The sequence below is a fragment of the Homo sapiens genome, chromosome 20 (assembly GCF_000001405.40).
Source record: "Homo sapiens chromosome 20, GRCh38.p14 Primary Assembly".
Taxonomy (NCBI): Eukaryota; Metazoa; Chordata; class Mammalia; order Primates; family Hominidae; genus Homo; species Homo sapiens.
In genome coordinates, this window is record NC_000020.11 from 57,269,616 (window position 1) to 57,288,100 (window position 18,485).

General features: G+C 48.5%; 1 long non-coding RNA gene across 1 annotated transcript in view, besides 2 other annotated features; it reads right to left on the reverse strand.

Moving 5' to 3' along the window:
• Positions 4,743–18,485, reverse strand: part of LOC105372687 (uncharacterized) — a 55,307-nt gene continuing 41,564 nt past the window's right edge. Inside the window, exons 10-12 of the long non-coding RNA XR_007067670.1 lie at positions 16,858–16,932; positions 6,291–6,505; positions 4,743–4,825 (exon numbers count right to left, since the gene is read on the reverse strand). This is a non-coding gene — a long non-coding RNA (uncharacterized LOC105372687). The remainder of the gene's footprint in view (positions 4,826–6,290; positions 6,506–16,857; positions 16,933–18,485) is intronic.
• Positions 17,318–17,819: an enhancer, noted in NCBI's record as "H3K4me1 hESC enhancer chr20:55861989-55862490 (GRCh37/hg19 assembly coordinates)". NCBI's record gives its function as "activates a minimal SCP1, AML or CMV promoter by ChIP-STARR-seq in primed H9 embryonic stem cells {active_cell/tissue: H9 hESC(primed)}" and the evidence as "EXISTENCE:reporter gene assay evidence [ECO:0000049][PMID:30033119]".
• Positions 17,820–18,319: an enhancer, noted in NCBI's record as "H3K4me1 hESC enhancer chr20:55862491-55862990 (GRCh37/hg19 assembly coordinates)". NCBI's record gives its function as "activates a minimal SCP1, AML or CMV promoter by ChIP-STARR-seq in primed H9 embryonic stem cells {active_cell/tissue: H9 hESC(primed)}" and the evidence as "EXISTENCE:reporter gene assay evidence [ECO:0000049][PMID:30033119]".

Genomic DNA, 18,485 nt, shown 5'->3' on the forward strand with positions numbered 1-18,485 from the left:
CCCACAAACCCCCATTTAGCCTTATCTTTTCTGTGATCCATGCTTGGTGGGGGGGTCTTTCTTTTCCCTGTTTCCTCCCCGAGAGGCATCCCCAAGACTGCACCAGGCCCTCAGTGAATGCCGAATGAATGAATGAATGAATGAATGAATGAATGAATGAAAACCGGCAAGCAAGAAATATCTGGCTGGGAGTGCATCCGATGCCAGTTTGGGAGCTGAGCCCACCACCAGAAAAGGCTTTGAGATTGCCGAGGGCAAGTCTTGTGTGGAGGAGGTAGCCTGGGCACTGGAGCCTGCCCAGCCGCATTCACACTCCAGCTCTGTCTCTTCCAGCTGTGCACCATGGGCAAGGGACTTAACCTCTCTACACCTCAGTTCCCCCATCTGTAAAATGGGGTGACTGATAGCGCCTGTCTTCTGGGATCGCTGTGAGGTTGCAGAACTTAATTCATGGAAAGGGCTTTGCACAGTGCCTGGAACACAGAGAAAACCCTTGATAAATGTTATTGTGTTACCATCTGGATGAAAAGGAAAATATGGTAACAGGAAAGCCTCCTGAGTTACAAAATAACAACAAAACTTTTCATGATGGTCTGCTTTTTGGCCAAGCAGAGAAAAGCAGATGTATCCTGACTCTGAGAGCAAGAGCAAAAGTACCAGAGCAAAAGAGAGAGTGAAGTGGAAGGGAACATGAGAGATGAAAAGGTCATCACTGCATTCCAATCCTCACATTGTGCCTAGGCCCCCTGCAGGCCAGCTGGGGCCCAGGGACTTCCCTGGGTCCTATCTCATTTCCCCAGCAGCTAGCCCCCAACCCACACACCCCCAGTTGTGGTTCCCCTGGCCAGGGCACCCAGCACTGGGCTCCAGGACCGTAATCTGATCTGCCCCAGTCTGCTCCACACCTGGGGCCGCCTTTGCCTGGATGAAAGACGGCCTGGAATTGTAAGGGGTGTTATTGTGTCGGGTGGCCCGGTCCCAGTGTCCGCGCCCCTCGCCTGCTGGCCTCCCAGTGCTGGGCCAGGAGTTTTCATTTCCTACATCATCAGTCACATCTTGCTGAAGTGATTTTGACCAAGTCAGCATGTCTCTCTAAGGCAGTAAAAAGAAGAAAAGAATTCTGCTGACACACACATTGTTCAGCGAGGTGGGGACCTCATCTTCATCCATCTGCCCTAGAGGAGGCTCAGCTGGCCTGGAAGCTCCCTGGGGAGCACAGCCAAGGAAGCCAGTGGGCTGCTCTCTCTCTGTCCACACCACCTGGCAAAGGCCAGATGACCTGGACCTCCAACCCCAACAAGGAATAGAGGGCCAAGAGCTGCCTCCTGCACAGGCTTGAAAATCGTTGTGTGCAGAGGTGGACCCTGCAGAGGAAATTATTAGAGCACACCTGTGGTGAAATTTTGTTTCCCACGCAGATCTCTCATTGCACGGGAGGCTTGGACTCCTCACGCTTGCCCACTCTGAGATTTTCTTTGCACAACTTTAAAAGCAGCAGAATAAGAGATTAAACGTCTTCCATCAGTCTTAAGTACACATGGCAGTGGCCACAGTTCCAAATGGAAAATACAGACGACACACACACTCTAGAGAAAGCTGATACCATGCAGGATTTCTAGGATCTGGAAGCCAGCTAGGGGGAAGCAGTGGTTTTGTTTATTATTATCAGGGCTGTTATTTCTTCCTTGATTGGAGGAAATCTGGTATGGTTTTGAGCACTAACTATCCTCGGTTCAGCACTAGAGGTAGCCCTTTCCTCCTTCCAAAACGTGACAGGGGAGCGGCCGACCTGTCACCTGTTGGGAGCACTTGCTTCTGCTGGGCACCTGCTAGGCCTGCACGGCCCAAGCCCACATCACCCGCAACTCCCCACTGCATGGAGAGGCTAGTTCTGCTCCTCAGATTGCAGAGGAGGACCAACATCCCGAGAGCACCTTGTCCAGAGTCAGACAGCCAATCTAATCTGTAATGGAGCCAGGATCCAAAGCCACATCTGTCTACACAGCCCAGGCCTTTAAGCATCAGTGCACGTTCAGTGACCTGGGAGCAGCCCCTTCCTTCCTTGCTTTAACCTAAAGCAACACTTCTCCAACCCAACTGTGCGTGTGAATCCCCTGGGGGTCTGTTAGAACATAGATTCCCACAGTCAGTCTGAGTGAGCTGAGATTCTGCACTTCTAACTAGCTCCTGGGGGCTCGGAGGCTGTCGTCTTCAGGCTGTATGTTGACGATCGAGGCTCTAGATTTCTGAAGTTATAGCTGACAAATTGGGGCTTCAAATTAAAACTTCAATATCTATGATTCCAGGTGTCTTTTAAAATTAACTCATTAATTCTCCCAACTACCTTGTATGATTTTTATTATTATTATCCCCATTTTACAGATGAGGAAATTGAGGCTCAAATACTTGAGGGAACCTGCCCAAAGCCACACCAATGGTGAGTGAATGGTAAAATCAGAATTCTGACGCCGGCTATCTTGTTCCAGGACTTAAGTCCTTAAACATTGAGGTACACCAAAACACAGGGTTTGTCTTAGTCCTGTAGGGACCTCCCAGTACCCATGGAGGCCTTGCACACAGTAGATGCCCTATCAGTGTTTGAGGAACATACCTCTGAGCCCTTCTTCAATTCCTCCTTTATTGCAGAAGTCATACACTCAAAAGCCAACGGGCACCAACCAGGTAACATAAATACAGAGATGCAACATGAAGCTCAAGGAATATTTCTCTTCCTCTTAATTTAATGGAAGGCAATCATGAGCACAGACATGGTGACAGGTGGCAGGAGACACTGGCCTGGATAAATAAGGAGGGTGCAGACTGGGGTGAACTGGAAACCACATGCCCATGGGTGATGCCATCCAGAAATTTGATTCCAACATCACCAGAAAGTTCTGATTTTCCAAAGAAGCTAGAAACTTGAGTTTGAATGTGACATCTCTCAATGTTTATCTGTTGGCAACTAATTCAACTCGTTTTGGTTATTAGACCAAAGAAGACACATCTACCAGTCAGATTCGATGAATCTGGTTTGCCCCTGGCCTCATAAAGGGCTCTGCTGTGTCTGGAGGATGTGCCCAGCCTCCCCCAACCCATCACCCAAACCAAAGGACCACCAAGGATGGTGCATTTCAAGACAGCTCCATTGAATTCATGATTCGAGGGCTACTGAGCCAGTGGTTGAAAAGGCTGGAACTGTCTGCCCCTTTAGGCAAAATCTGACCCTAACCTTCCCCAGAGTCCCTTCCCAGCAAAACTCTGCTGTTTGGCCCTGGTGACTGATCTGATAAACTCCCCCTCTCCCCAGAAACATCAAAAACCAGAATTCCATCTGCAAGAGCAGGAGTGAGTGTTCATTGCTCCTGCTTTTCAGCATCTCCCTCCTCCCAGCTAGATCTGAGCCCTCTCTTATGGTTGAGGATGCCCCATCTGGTGAATATCCAGAGAGGCACTGTCTAGCCTGCTTTGCAGCCAGAGCCCTGACAGGTGACCAAGTTTCAGCCAGTCAGAGGCACCCACCCCAGAAGCTATCAGTGCAGGCCCAGACTATTCTGCAGAGTGATCTGGGGCCGTGTCCCAACTAGAGAGCCCCCAAGCCTGGTTCTCTGGCCTTCCCAGGGGTTCTGTGAGCCCCCAAGATCCTCTAGTGGTCTCCTTTTCCGCACCAGCCTGCCCAAGCTGGTTTCTGTTGCCTGCAGCCAGAAGCCCTGCTGGATACAGCACTGGGGAGCTGGAGAGGGCATGGCAATCATGTCAGTTAAAAGGATACAGGCCTTCTCTTTTGTGCAGCGCTAAAACTTTTGGTCAAGGAGTTTTTCACACATGCTCGACACAGAAAACAGAAACAGAGCTTCTTTGGTTACATAGAGCAGGGGAGGGACTAGGGTTACCACATTTAGCAAAAAAAAAAATAGGTGTCCAGTTCAATTTGAATTTCAGATAAACAATGAATGAATTTTAGTATGACTATATCCCATTATATTGGAGTATATGTATTATATATACTCATACTGAAATTTACTCGTTGTTTATCTGAAGTTCAAATCGGACTGGACACCCTGCCTGTTATCAGGTGATCCCAGCAGGGGCCCAGAGTCCCCAGGCCTGTTTCTTTTCACTACCATTTTCTCTGCTCCCAGGGTTCCACAGAAAACACTTTGGAAGCTCACCTAATTTGAGACCCCTGCCTTTTCTCCTTCTTCTGCAAATATTTCCTCTGTTTTCTTTTCTTTTCTTTTTTTTTTTAGACAGAGTCTCCCTCTGTCACCCAGGCTGGAGTGCAATGGCACAATCTCAGCTCACTGTAACCTCTGCCTCCCGGTTTCAAGCAATTCTCCCTCCTCAGCCCCCCGAGTAGCTGGAATTACAGGTGTGCACCACCATGCCTGGCTAATTTTTGTATTTTTAGTAGAAGACAGGGTTACACCACGCTGGCCAGACTGGTCTTGAACTCCGGGCCTCAAACAATCCATCCATCTTGGCCTCTCAAAGTGCTGGGATTACAGGCATAAGCCACTGTGCCTGGCCAAGATTTCCTCTGTTTTCCTCAGTAGAAATGCCCCTTCTTCACCATCAGTCCCTGTATTTCAGGTTGAACTATCCTCTTCTCTAAAATTCAGACTGGGCACATGACCCAGCCTGGTCAACCAGAGATGCCCATGCGATGGGTTCAGTGACAGTCATGTGACCTAATCCAGGCCAGTGAGATTCAACTTTTAGAACTTTTGCTAGAACTACCGGTAAAGGGGTCTCTCCTCCCACTGGGGTTGCTAGGTCAGGGGCTGCTGCTGGCTGTCATCTTCCCTCCCTTCAGGGAGAGCCTGCCCTGTGAGAGAAGCCACAAGACAGTAAAACAAGAAAAGGCAGGAGACTGACAGCATCAGTGAGCCCCTGGAGCCCACTATCCCTGAAGCCAGCCCCACCCAGGACTGTTCAGTTTAAGCCATTGTGTACGGAGTTTCCAGTCAGTTACAACAAAAGTCCTGCAGAAGCGTGGTTCAATTCCTTCATCTTGAAGATAGAGAAATTGACACCCAAAGAGAAACTGCTGGGCCCAAAGTCTTACAGTGAATCAGGGATTAGACTGGGCTCCTCGCTCCCAGAGTCCTGGGAACTCCTCACCACCCCACGTCGTGCTTCTCTCCATCTCTGTTGTTTTCTTCCTTCTCTCCTCTCCTTCACTGTGTTTCTCCTCATTTAAAAAATTGTATTCTTTCTTTTACTTCGAGTTTTATCTTTATTCCCTCCCCATTGGTAAACCATTACTCTAAATATAACAGGTTAGTCCCAACTCATGTGAAAAGATCGTATGGGAAGATTAACAGATTTGAGCTCATCTTACATATGATGCAACAACTAATAAGAGTTAGCATGAATGACACAGCTATCTGATGTCCAAGCTTTGCTGATTAGCTCTCGTCTTCTAATCGCCCTGAAATTGGATGCAGTATCTCCCATTTCACAGATGAAGATCTGGAGGCCCAGGGGTCAAAGGACTTGGCCAAGAAGCATGACTAACAAACGACAAAGCCAGCATTCAAGCCTGGATGACCCAATTCTGATCCCCTATTTCACCCAGCCAGTTGCCCCTGTAAAGCCAGCCTGAGATTTTTATTTCCAGAGCTCACATGATAACAAACCACTGAGTTGAGTTGCCAGATGTGGCAAATAAAAAATATAGGCTATCCAGTTAAATCTGAATTTTAGATAAACAATGACTAATTTTTTTAGAATAAATATGTCCCAAATTGCAAGGGACATACTTACACTAACAATGAGCCTTTGTTTATCTAAAATGCAAACTTAACCTTTCACGGTGTATTCTGTTTGGCAATTCTACACTAAGGGGCTTTTACGCATAAAGCAAGAAGCATCAGCTGTGTCCTTGGTTCTGCAAAAAGCCTCAGGGCCTTTGCACTTGCTGTGCCATTTGCCTGGAAGGCTCATACTGATATTCACCTCCTTCACCTCCTCTGGGTCTCTGCTCAAATATTTCACCATTAAAGCTTTCCCTTGCCCGTCTATCAGAAGCAACCCATGTTTCTTTTCCTCTTAACACCACCACCTGAAATACAATAGTTACATGTTTATTTGTTCATTGTCTCTCTCCTGCCATGGAAATGTGGGCATGTGTTTTGGTCTGATTTGTTCACTACCGTGAATAGAGCCCAGAGCGGTGTGCCGTATGTAGTTGATACTCAATGAATCTTTGCTGAATGAGTGAATGAACTCTCTGTGAGCACATCTTGGTTTCTGTCTGGAATACTGCCTGACTTGAGATTGTCACTCACCTGCTGAGTGGCAGTGGGCATGCCCCTGAGCTCCCCACTCCTTGAGCTGGACTCATCACACATCTCAGAGTCACTGGGAGATCAGGTGACGAAACAGCCTTGAGAGTCAGATGCAAACTTGCCGGAGCACGTATGCAAGCATTCCAGTGTGCTTTTCTCTTCTCTTCTCCTTCAAGCACTCGTGCCCCAGACAACTGAGCCTCGGAATACAAACCCTAAAAAACAATTTTTTCCAGTGTTCAGAGCATATGCAAGCTCCTCCTACCCCTGGCATCACTGCAGACAGTGGCATCAAGCACTTCCAAGTCGGAGGGAAGGACAGCACACCAACAGACATCAGTACCAACGACGGCTAATAGTCTAGACGTCTGGTCCAGTTATCTGCATCACCTCCTTTCATCCTCACAACTCTTTTGAAATAGATATTTTTGTGCCCATTTTACAGATGAGGAAATTGAGGCTCAGATTAATCAGTTCTACTGCCAGAAAGCAATGGAACCATGTTTTAATTCAGCCAGCCTGATAGCAGTCTCTGAGCCCATTTCCTCACCTGTAAAGTAGGTATAATTATAGTGCTACCTGGCCAGTCACAGTGGCTCACGCCTATAATCTCAGCACTTTGGGAGGCCAAGGTGGGTGGATCACCTGAGGTCAGAAGTTCAAGACCACCCTGACCACTATGGTGAAACCCGGTCTCTACTAAAAAATACAAAATTAGCTGGGTGTGGTGGTGCATGCCTGTAATCCCAGCTACTCGGGAGGCTGAGGCAGGAGAATCACTTGAACCCTGGAGGAGGAGGTTGCAGTGAGCTGAGATTGTGCCATTGCAGTCTAGCCTGGGCAACAAGAGCAAAACTCCATCTCAGATATAAATAGATAAATAAATAACTAAATGTGCTGCCTTGTTGGGATGTCGTGGGGTTAAAATGAGACATTGTGTGTGAAGTATTTGCATGGGTCCAGGCAGGCTGCACACACAGGTGGCCACCACAGGCAACCTTGCCCTCCCCCCAGCCAGAAATAATCAGGATAGAGGATGTCATGTGAAGGCCATTTTCCAAGCTGCCCAGAGTGACTGATGACCTAGCTTGAGGCAAGACAACTATCCAGAGTTATCAGATTCACTTCCTTGGGTATTTGAAATAGGAAATCCAGAGAAAACGAGGTTACAGGAATGAGGCCAGGTCAAGAGGTAGAAAGTGTGGCCATGATGGGTGGTGAGCAAGCTGGCCTTATAAAGGAGCTCAGGCCACTGGGGTCCAGTAGTGTATGTTGTACACTGTGCACTCTGGGATCAACATTCCTATTCTTGCCTTTGAGAACGGTGACCTCTGGAGTTGTGCAGTACACACTCTCAGCAACTGTACCCAGCAGCTCTGAAATTTTATTCATTCATTGATTCATTCACATATATATTAATTTATTCCCACCATGTGACAGTCTCTTTCAGACCATGAGACGGCAGCAGTGAAAAGATATTCAAGACTTTTCACACAGGTATTTTAGTTAGGGGAGATGGACGAGAAGCAGGAGTGACTGACAAGTGCATGGAGAAAAAGAAAGCCCAGCGAGAGGCTGAGAGCAGAGGGTGGGAAGGCCTCTCTGAGGAGGGGAGGTCTCCAAAGCCAGGCCTAGGAGGAGCAGGGGGAGGGGACTGTGGGTAGAGGCAACGGTGGGTGCAAAGGCCCTGTGGTGACCCACAAGAGCATCTGGGATGCTTGGCTCCAGAAGCCCCTCCTAACTCCGGCTTTTCCTGGAGTCGATGTTTCCCTGTGCCCAGGTCCCCAGACACAAGTGTCTTTATGATCCCACCACATTCCTTGGGGTGGCTCGAGTCAGTGCCTCTCACAGCCCAAAGAACTCTGACCCAACTTCCAGCTGGGGCCCCTGTCCCCGAACAGAGTCTCCAGACATGGGCATTGCTGGCCCTGGTCTGTTCTCCTCTTCCAAGTCTCAGTGACCCTCCTCAGCCAGACTTCTGCCCCACCCATCTCTGCTTCCAACAAGCTCCCAGTGAGCTGCCTGCATCTGCAAAGCCGGGAAACATGATGTTCCCAGACATCAAAGAGTTTGCAAAAGATTGTGGTCACCTTAGACCCAGACCATTTCCTGAGGCTGCTGTTTAGATACCAAGTCCAGGGTTTTTTCTTTAGGACTCCAGTGAAGGGTAGAAGCTGTCCTACACCTCAAGCCACCACCACCTCCCTTCTCTGGACCCCACCGTAATCCATGGCTCCTTACAACCTCCACATCTCTGGCACTGGAGCCCTGATTTTGTTTTTATGGGGTAATATTCTTTCATCCCCAAATGCCATGTAGGAATTTGCTGGCGGGGTGGGGTGGGAACCAGAGAAACAAAAGGATGATTTACAGGGGTTCAAAAGCCTCATTATAACCAGAAAATTCAATTTACAGACATTTGGTTCTTTTATTTCCATTTTTTTAAGGAGAGAAAAGAAATCAATCTAGTGTGGGCATTTTGAGTCCCTTGCTTAGAGGTTCAAGGCATCTGTGACTTCAGAAAGCCTTCTTGGCATGAAGCAATAAACAGGCTGAGCAGATAAAACCACCCTGTGTTTAAAAAGCAGGCCTGTCTCCGAGGCAGAATTTTTATAGATAAAACAACAGAACGTGACTCAAAAAAGTCGTGTTGTGAAAATGGCCCCATGTAGACACAAAATTCTTTACTCAGGAGCTAAGTTCTACAGCAGCACAGGAAGGTTTCATCTAGATAATTCTCTACGTCTGGCTTCAAGGAGCCACTCCAAAGCCCCGTTTTCCAGACGAGTTTCGTGTTGCAAATATCACCTCCATGCCTTCAATGTTTCACTGCATGGAGGACCCTCTCTCTTTCTCCGGTTCACCAAAATGTTTGCACATGTTGTGAGGGAAAATGACTTTCTGTCAAGTAAGTTTAAGAAACGATGGGCTCCAGAAAGGGAAACATGTTTCTTCACTGCAGGACTTCTCAATTTTTTTTTTTTTTTTTTTTTTTTTTGAGACGGAGTCTTGCTCTGTCACCAGGCTGGAGTGTAGTGGCGCAATCTCAGCTCACTGCACCCTCCGCCTCCTGAGTTCAAGCAATTCTCCTGCCTCAGCCTCCCAAGTAGCTGGGACTACAGGCACGCACCACTACGCCTAGCTAATTTTTGTATTTTTAGTAGAGATGGGTTTTCACCATGTTGGCCAGGATGGTCTTGATCTCTTGACCTTGTGATCCACCCGCCTCAGCCTCCCAAAGTGCTGGAATTACATTCTCTGTCTTTAATTAGGGAGGAGAGGGTAGAGTGTTTCACAAGCTGTTATATTAAGTCAGAGATCTATCATGTGCAAGTGTCAGAAACCCAACTCAAAACGGCTCAATGCCCAACTCAGAGTGGTTTCCCTAAGGGGGAAGTCCTATCAACGCTGTGCCCAGGGGCTCATGGAGTGACCTCTGTCTCTGGGGCTCCATTTCTTTCTGTCTCCATCTTTCAACTCGGCATCTATCTGAATGCTGGCTTCATTATTTCCTACCACAGAGAGGTTTCCTCTGCATTGCCATATGTCAAGGCCAGCAAGCGACCCTGGGAAGAGAGAGAGAGAGCCTCTTGCTCCCAGGAGAGAATGTCCAGGTCTTGGCTTACCTTGCGCACCAGTAATGGCAAACGGGGAAGGGAGCACCTGGATTTCCCAGCCTTGTCTGCTCACCTCTGAGTCAGGGTGGAGGTCAGGGCACTGGGTCAGCCCCACCAGAGACCCATATGGTAGGGCAGGCACCATTTCCCCAAAGCAGGGGGACGCCATCACCTGAATCCAGGAAGGGGCACTGGGTCAGTAAAAAGGAAACCAAATTTTCCTGGGCATGGTGGCTCACACCTGTAACCCCAGCACTTTGGGAGGCAGAGGGGGGCAGATCACCTGAGGTCAGGAATTCAAGACCAGCCTGGCCAACATGGCGAAACCCCATCTCTACTAAAAATACACAAATTAGCTGGGTGTGGTGGTGGGCCCCTGTAATCCCAGCTACTCAGAAGGCTGAAGCAGGAGAATCACTTGAACCCTGGAGGCAGTGGTTGCAGTGAGCCGAGATGGCGCCATTGCACTCCAGCCTGGGCGACAAGAGCAAAATGCAATCTCAAAAAAAGGAAAGAATGAAAGAACGAAAGAAAGAAAGAAAGGGAAAGAGAAGAGGAGAGAGAAAAGAACAGAAAAGAAAAGAAAATTTGATCAAAAACCCCCCTTGATGGCCAAGCACCCAGCTGAACTGGGGTTCTGTAGACAGAGGCCCTGGGGAGCAGATGCTTACCCCGGACAACGACCTCTCCAGCTCTGAATTTCTGTGCTGGCATGGGTTTGCAGGTCATTAGCACTGGGTGCCACATGCCCGTTGGTTTGTGAGCTCCTAGAGGACATGCCGCATATGCTGTTTTGTACTTTCTGTGTCTAACACGGGACTCTGCATACAGTCAGTGTTCAATGAACACTTGATCAATAGAGGAGTTCACAGATCCCCTGCTCTTTTTCAGCTGCGGCCCTAACTCAGTCCAGTGTGGTTCCTGACTTCTCATCCACCTCCGTCATGAGACCATCTGCCACAGGCTCCTGCCTCCTGGTTCAACACCTGGCAGGTAGCGGGGACTCGACACAGCTGCTCAATCAGGGAGCAGCCCTCGCTTGCCGCTGGGTTTTGTTTGTGTGTTGGTTTTTGTGCCCGTCTTTGTTCCTACTTTGAATTTAAACTCCTTTTGTCTGCTTTTTGAATAGATTCTTCTAGGGGTTCATTCTATCCTCTTGCATTAATTATTTAGTGAGTATTACCATGTGCCAGACCTTATTCTGAGTGTGGTGCGTACAGGAGTGAACAACATGGACCAAACTTCTCCGCACATGGGACTTTTACCCTAACAGGGCTGTTAGACTGGGCCCAGTAACACAGGGCAGGGGTGCAGAGAGGGACAAGGATGCCACTTTAGCTATAATAATCAGGAAAAGCCCCGGATCTGAGCAGAGACCCCTGAGGACAGAGGGGAGGGAGCCGCTCACATCACTGGGGAAGAGCATTCCTTTTTTTTTTTTTTTTAAGAGACGGAGTCTCGCTCTGTCGCCCAGGCTGGAGTGCAGTGGTGCGATCTCGGCTCACTGCCACCTCCACCTCCCGGGTTCAAGCGATTCTCCTGCCTCAGCCTCCCGAGTAGCTGGAACTACAGGCACCTGCCACCGTGCCTGGCTAATTTTTGTCTTTTTAGTAGAAATGGGGTTTCAGCACCACCAGGAGCAGGACCTCAGCCCACCCAGGACTCCTGAATCAGAATCTGCCATTTGCTCACCATGCGATCCTGGACAATTTGCCAAACCTTTCTAGGTCTCTGTTTTCTCATTTGTAAAATGGGCTGAATTATTTCTCTCATCTATCTCCCTCAGATTGCTGGGAAGAACCAATGAGATAATCCATGGAAAGTGCCTAACACAAAATCAACTTAAGAAATGACAACTGGCCGGGCACAGTGTCTCACGCCTGTAATCCCAGCACTTGGGAGGCTGAGGCGGGCAGATCACTTAAAGTCAGGAGTTTAAGACCAGCCTGGTCAACATGGTGAAACCCTGTCTCTACTAAAAATACAAAAATTAGTCAGGTGTGGTGGCGGGCGCCTGTAATCCCAGCTACTCGGGAGGCTGAGGCAGGAGAATTGCTTGAACCCAGGAGGCAGAGGTTGCAATGAGCTGAGATCACCCCCACTGCAGTCCAGCCTGGGCAACAGAGCGAGACTCTGTCTCAAAAAAAAAAAAAAAAAAAGAAAGAAAAAGAAAGAAAGAAATGACTGGCAGCCAGTACCACTCTTCATGTTGGCCTCGCAGTTGATATTTCCTCAGGAGGGCACTTCTGAATTCCTCAAGGGAGAAAGAAAAACAGACTCCAGGAATATCCTGGTTGTTGGGCACAGGGAAAGCAACACTGCTGACGTCCATCTGATATAGAATTCTCAGAAATGCTGTGATACACCTGTTGGCCTGTAGCTTTCTGGCTGGTTCTTGTTTGCACTTGGGGGTCATCTTCAGGGCCTTGCAGGGACGTGTTTCCTAGAGTTGAGAATCCAGAACAGCAAAACGGGCTCCTGCGACTCCTCTGTTTCGACAAATTCATGACCCGAATGAAAGTGGCTCTGAGCTGCACTAGGCCCTGCACACAGACACTAACTGGCAGCTTTGAAAATGACCATTCTGGAAATCTGCATGAGGTTTCCAGAGGTCAAACTAAATAAGCTACTGAAACTAGTCATCTCTCGAAATTTCATCTTTGGTAATACAGCAAAAAAAAAAATTCAAAAACTTTTTGTTTTGTTTTGTTTTGAAACAGAGTCTCCCTAAGTCACTGAGGCTGGAGTACAGTGGCATGATCTCGGCTCACTGCAACCTCTGTCTCCTGAGTTCAAGCGATTCTCCTGCCTCAGCCTTCCAAGAAGCTGGGATTACAAGCGCCCACCACCACACCCGGCTAATTTTTTTGTATTTTTAGTGGAGACGGGGTTTTGCCATATTGGCCAAGCTGGTTTCGAATTCCTGACCTCAGGTGATCCACTGGCCTCGGTTTCCCCAAGTGCTGGGATTACAGGTGTGAGCCACCACAGCCAGCCTAAAAATAACTTTTTTAAAACAAACATAAATTTTAAAATAACTTCTTTTAGGCAGTCCATTCCATGGAATTGGTGGCACTGACCTCATCTGATGTCCCAGAAAGCTGGCCACAAAAGTTTCCATCCCCCATGACAGACAAACAGTTCTACTCTGGGGCAATTCTCCCTGTGTCCAGACCACAAACGCCCCTGCCTGTTTGGTGCATCTCAGCAGCAGAAAATCACCAACCACAAAGCTTTCAGGACCGGCATTTAAAATCAACCCAAAGACACTCCCCTTCCACATGCTCTGGGCTCCGTGCGATCTTTCATAGCGCAGCTCCACGCTCCTCCTCGCAGACGAGACTGGCATTCAAACCAGGAATTCTTCTGAGGGGCTCTGTGTGCAGGAATACAATCACCTCAAGCTCGTGTAAGAAGAAGAGAGCTCCAGTTACCAGGGCTTCCGAAGGCTTTTAATAGAAAACATTTGTGCCAAATAAAAAGCTTCTCCTTGTGTTTTGCTTTAGCTGTAAATTATCTGCTCCAAGGATCCACCCAGAAATCCCTACTGAGGGTGAACTCCACAGTGTGGTTGAGTCCAGATTTGTTGCTCGGTCCAGATAGATTTTCAGCTGCTGCATCCAAACTGCAGCCAGGGGGACAATAAGAACAGAACCTCTTTTGTTCTGATGAAACTGTTTTTAATGGTCCCTTCTAGGCCGGGCCCTAGTGGAAGTCTCAACAAGGCTGCTCATTGAAACGCCCTTGAAAGAGCCAAGTGGGGAGCGCGAGGGACCCTGGGGAGGGGCCGGCGGCCCTTTGCTCAGCCCTGGTGGTCCTGCCGCAAAGGAGAGCTGGGCTGTTTTATTTGTTGTCTGAGATGGAAAAGGGGGAGGGGGTCGTCGAGACGAGGACCGTCCCGCAAATTTCTATAATTACTGCCTGCAGAGTGTTAGGGACACACACACAGTAACATCAAACGTCATCCTGGAGGGTTAGGGGTTCCCAAAAGCTGAACACCCAGAAGCTGGTAGAGCAAATCCACTAAATGGAACAACATGTGTTCCCCGGCCCAAGAACTCCAACTGCATTAAGGGAGGCACATTTCTGACCACTTTACTTTTCATCTTGAGGCCTCAGGGGGCCCTTTGGTTCATGCAGAATCCAGGATATAGAGGGGAAGAAACAGATGGAAAGATACGAACCGCTACCAGGGCACAAGTAGCTGCCTGCCCCGCACCCTTCTTAAGCCCCAATGTCTGCAGGTGTCCGTCCTCTGAGGGTCCCCCAGTGGCACCTGAAGGATGCTCTCCATGTAGCAACAGTGACAAAAGAAATAAGGAAACAAGCCGGGCATGGTGGCTCATGCCTGTAATCCCAACACTTTGGGAGGCCGAGGTGGGAGGATAGCTTGATCCCAGGAGTTCGAGTTCAGCCTGGGCAATGTAGTGAAACCTCATCTCTCTACAAAACAAATAAGAAAGAAAAAATAGCTGGGCATGGAGGCACATGTTTGTAGTCCCAGCTACTCGGGCGGAGGTGGGAGGATCCCTTGAGCCCAGGAGTTTGAGGCTGCAGTGACCTATGATCACGCCACTGCATTCCAGCCTGGGCAACAGAGCGAGACCCTGTCTCTAAAAAATGAAAAGTTGTGATTTATCCCTCAGAGGGAGTTTCCCCACTTTTGAGTGAGATTTTAAGTTTGCCTCTGAAGAACATGCTCTGGTTCCCCACAAAAGCAATCGGTGGTTCTCAGCAGGGGGCAATTGTGCCCCCACAGAGAACATGGAGCAGTGTCTAGGGACATTTTTGCTGTCACAACTGGGGAAAGGGGGTGCTACTGGCATTTAGTGGGTGAAGGTCAAGGATGTGGCTTAACACCCTCTGATGCACAGGATGGGCCCCCCAACAGTGGAGGATCTGGCCCAGAAGAGAATAGTGCTGAGGTCGAGAAACCCTGGGCTAGGAGGAGGTGACTCAGACCCCATTAAAGCACCCACCGCCGCTGAGATGGGAAGGACCCTCATTTGTTTGAGGTTCAGGAAGGATCAAATTGCTGTCTGACTGGTGGAGGCACAATTTCTCCTTTCCAAGTGCATGAGAACAAGGGCGACTGGGGCTCTTTAAAGAAACAGGTTTTAGGGTTAGTCTTTATTTGGCACTAACTCATCTTAAATTGTGTGGGGGAAATGGAATACAATTCAAGTTGTATTACTAATCAATCTTTGAGTAGAATAAATCACACCAAATGATATTCTATTAAATCTGAAAGTAATTAAAAGCCATGCAAAATTCTGGACTTTCATCAAATTTTGCTCAGCTCAAACCTTCTACCCTGCCCCCAAACACACCTGCTTCCATCACCAGAGACTGTCTGGAGGTAGAACATGCTTAGTATTTGACATATTGGTTTGTTAATCACATCTCTTTGTCTCTAAGAAGTGATGAGAAGGGGCTGATATCACAGAACTTTGAGCAGAGAGGGAAGGGGTGAAGTTTAGGATCTGAGCCCCAAGGTTTGAGTCCCAGCTCTGCCAGCGGTGTGACCTTGGGCAACCTGCCCCCACCACCCCAAAACTTGGATTTTCTCATCTGTAAAGAGGGAGTAAAAATAGTTTCCTCCTCCTAGGCTTTTGTTGTTTTGGGGGTTGTTTTTCTTGATGTTGTGGTTTTGAGACAGGGTCTTGTTCTGTTACCCAGGCTGGAGTGCAGTGGTGCAATCATGGTTCACTGCAGCTTTGACCTCCTGGGCTCAAGCAATACTCGTGCCTCAGCCCCACAAGTAGCTGGGACTACAGGTGCGTGCCACCATGTGTAGCTAATTTTTTTTTTTTTTTTTTTTTTGTAGAGATGGGGTTTCACCATGTTGCCCAGGCTGGTCTCAAGCTCCTGGACTCAAGTGATCCACCTGCCTCAGCCTCCCAAAGTGCTGGCATTACAAGTGTGAGCCACCGCACCCAGCCTCCCAGGGTTCTTATAAAGATTGACATAAGATAATAGATTTAAACTTTTCAGCATACTCCCTGGCCTCTGGGACGCATCAGAAGGTGTTGGCTTTTTTTTTTTTTTTTGAGACAGAGTTTCACCCTGTGGCCCAGGCTGGAGTGCAATGGCGCAGTCTTGGCTCATTGCAACCTCCGCTTCCTGGGTTCCAGTGATTCTCCTGCCTCACCCTCCCTAGCAGCTGGGACTACAGGCGCATGCCACCACACCTGGCTAATTTTTATATTTTTAGTAGAGACAGTGTTTCACTATGTTGGCCAGGCTGGTCTCGAACTCCTGACCTTGTGATCCACCCACCTTGGCTTCCCAAGGTGCTGGGATTATAGGCGTAGCCACTGCACCCAGCCAGCTATCTTTATAGTCCAACTTTGCCCCTCTGCAGGCCCCAGGAAGCCTGGAGTGATGGGGTCCATCCCCTTGCTGCGTGTTGGGGCACCCCGCTTCTTTGCACCTACATAATTGTATGGGTCCCAATGACTTTTGTGGCTTGGAGTCTGCCTTCCCCTGGAGAATAGAAGCTCTGGAAGGGCAGAACAGGGCTGTCTCAGCACCTGGCACAAAACTCAATAAATGCTTGTGTAATGAATGGCGAAGGGAATATTTGCCCCATATGAAGAGCCTGGCTTCCAGTCCTTGCTCTGCAACTTACTAGCTGTGGACTTGGGATAACAAAAATAATAGCCTTTTCTTTCCCACGCATCTAAGTCATCAGCAGGTCCTGCTGCTTCTACCTTCAAGGTAGAGTCTGACCCTACCCACTTCTGCCCTGGGTCCAGGCTACATCTGCCTGGACTGTGGCCCCGGAAGTCCATGCCACAGCCCACAATTGCCCCCCGCAACTTGCTGCCTGCCAGTATCACTTTGCCCCATTCCAGATGTTCCAGCTACGCTGCCTCTTCCTTCTGTATCACCACCCAGACCACCCTAGCAAAATCTCTCCCCCTGGGGTCAACCATTGTCTGTAATACCTTTTATTTATCTGCCACATGTTGTCTTTCTCCATGGAAGAGTCTCTTTCTTCCTTATCACTGCATTTCTAATGCCTAGAACAGTACATGGTCCATTAAAAGAAAACTCCATAAGTATTTCCTGAACAAATGAATGTATTGATTTAATTAATTGATGGTTGACTAATTAATAGTGAAGGGCCCAGGCTCTGAAGCCAGACTACCTGGGTTCAAATCCTAGCTGCTTCACATTCTAGTAGAACGTCCTGAGGCATGAGATTTGGGCTGTTTGAGCCTCAGCTGCCTCATCTACAACATGGCGAAACAGCCACATCCATTTTTGGGGTTGCTACAAGGATTAAGCAGGTCCACACTACGTACCAACTTAGCCCCACACTGACATCTCAGAGATACTCAGTGACTGCATGGGGAACGCGTTACTGCCTCATAGTAGGACGACATTTGCCCATTTGAAAAGCACTCCTACGCTCTTTCCTTTTAAGCAATTCAGGTGGGACCTTATGGAATTGCTGATATCTGACCGTTTTAACCTACAAAAATGGCAGCTTCATTGGGGTTAAAAGATGTTTCCCCAGGCCACACGGCTGGGAAGCGCAGGAGCCACTCTTGAATTGGAACTCCTGCTCAGTGTGTTAACTGGGCCCCTTTGAGCCTTTAGAAGCTGGCATCTGACGCCAGGAGAACTCCAGGTTCACTTTGTTCCTCCCTGGTGGCAGGAAGGAGGCAGCTGCCTAAACAGTGGTGCCAGGAGGGATGATGGCCACAGGGGCGTGCAAAGGCAGGGACCGCAGTGCAGCTGAGCAGGAGATGGAGTCTTGCGTGATAGGAAGAGATGCCCCTACCTAGCCTCTGAGCCCATTCCCTGAGCACATCACACAGCTCCCTTTCCTCTCTTTCTTTCCCCATTCCTTCCTTCCCTCCTTCCCTTTTTCCTTCTTTTTCTTTCTTCCTCCCTTTTCTTTTGCCCTTCTTAGCCTTTCTTTCTTCATTTTTTAATTAAACAATGACTGGATTCCTTTCCAGCAGTTTCACAAGGGGTGAAGTCACTTAGCAACCTTAATTATTTCCAACTTAATAACGTCCTGGGGTGGGGGACAGGTCGAGCCCCCAGCGGCCGGAATGCCTTGCTGGGTAAGCCGCTCAGAGGCGGGCTCTGGAGCAAATGAAGCGTCCGACCAAATACTTCTCATATTTTCCCTCTCCCTGGTAAGGGCTTTTGTTTGGAGTGAACCTTTTTTTTTTTTTCTCCCCCTGATAAACATGAATGACTACAGTTGACTGCAATTTTTTTCAGCTGGCTGTAGCTTCAAAGATTTGAGGGGTTTGAATTCCAGGCTTTAAATCACATGTTTTTCCCTTTTTGCTCTCAGACACACCTATAGTAGATAATAGAAATATGAATTTCATCTTCAACTAAAAGGAAAATAGGGAGATCTGTTGTTGGGAGTAGAGGAGTTATCAGCGGTCAGACTGGTGTGAACAGTGTGCAGTGGTGGAAACCCCATAGATCATCGCCACCCACTGAGTAATGACAAGGAGGCCAGCATGGTCCTGCCAGATCATCTCAGCCAACAGTTACCAAGCCCTGACAGTGGGCAGGCACTGGGCATAGCCCCTCATAGACACCG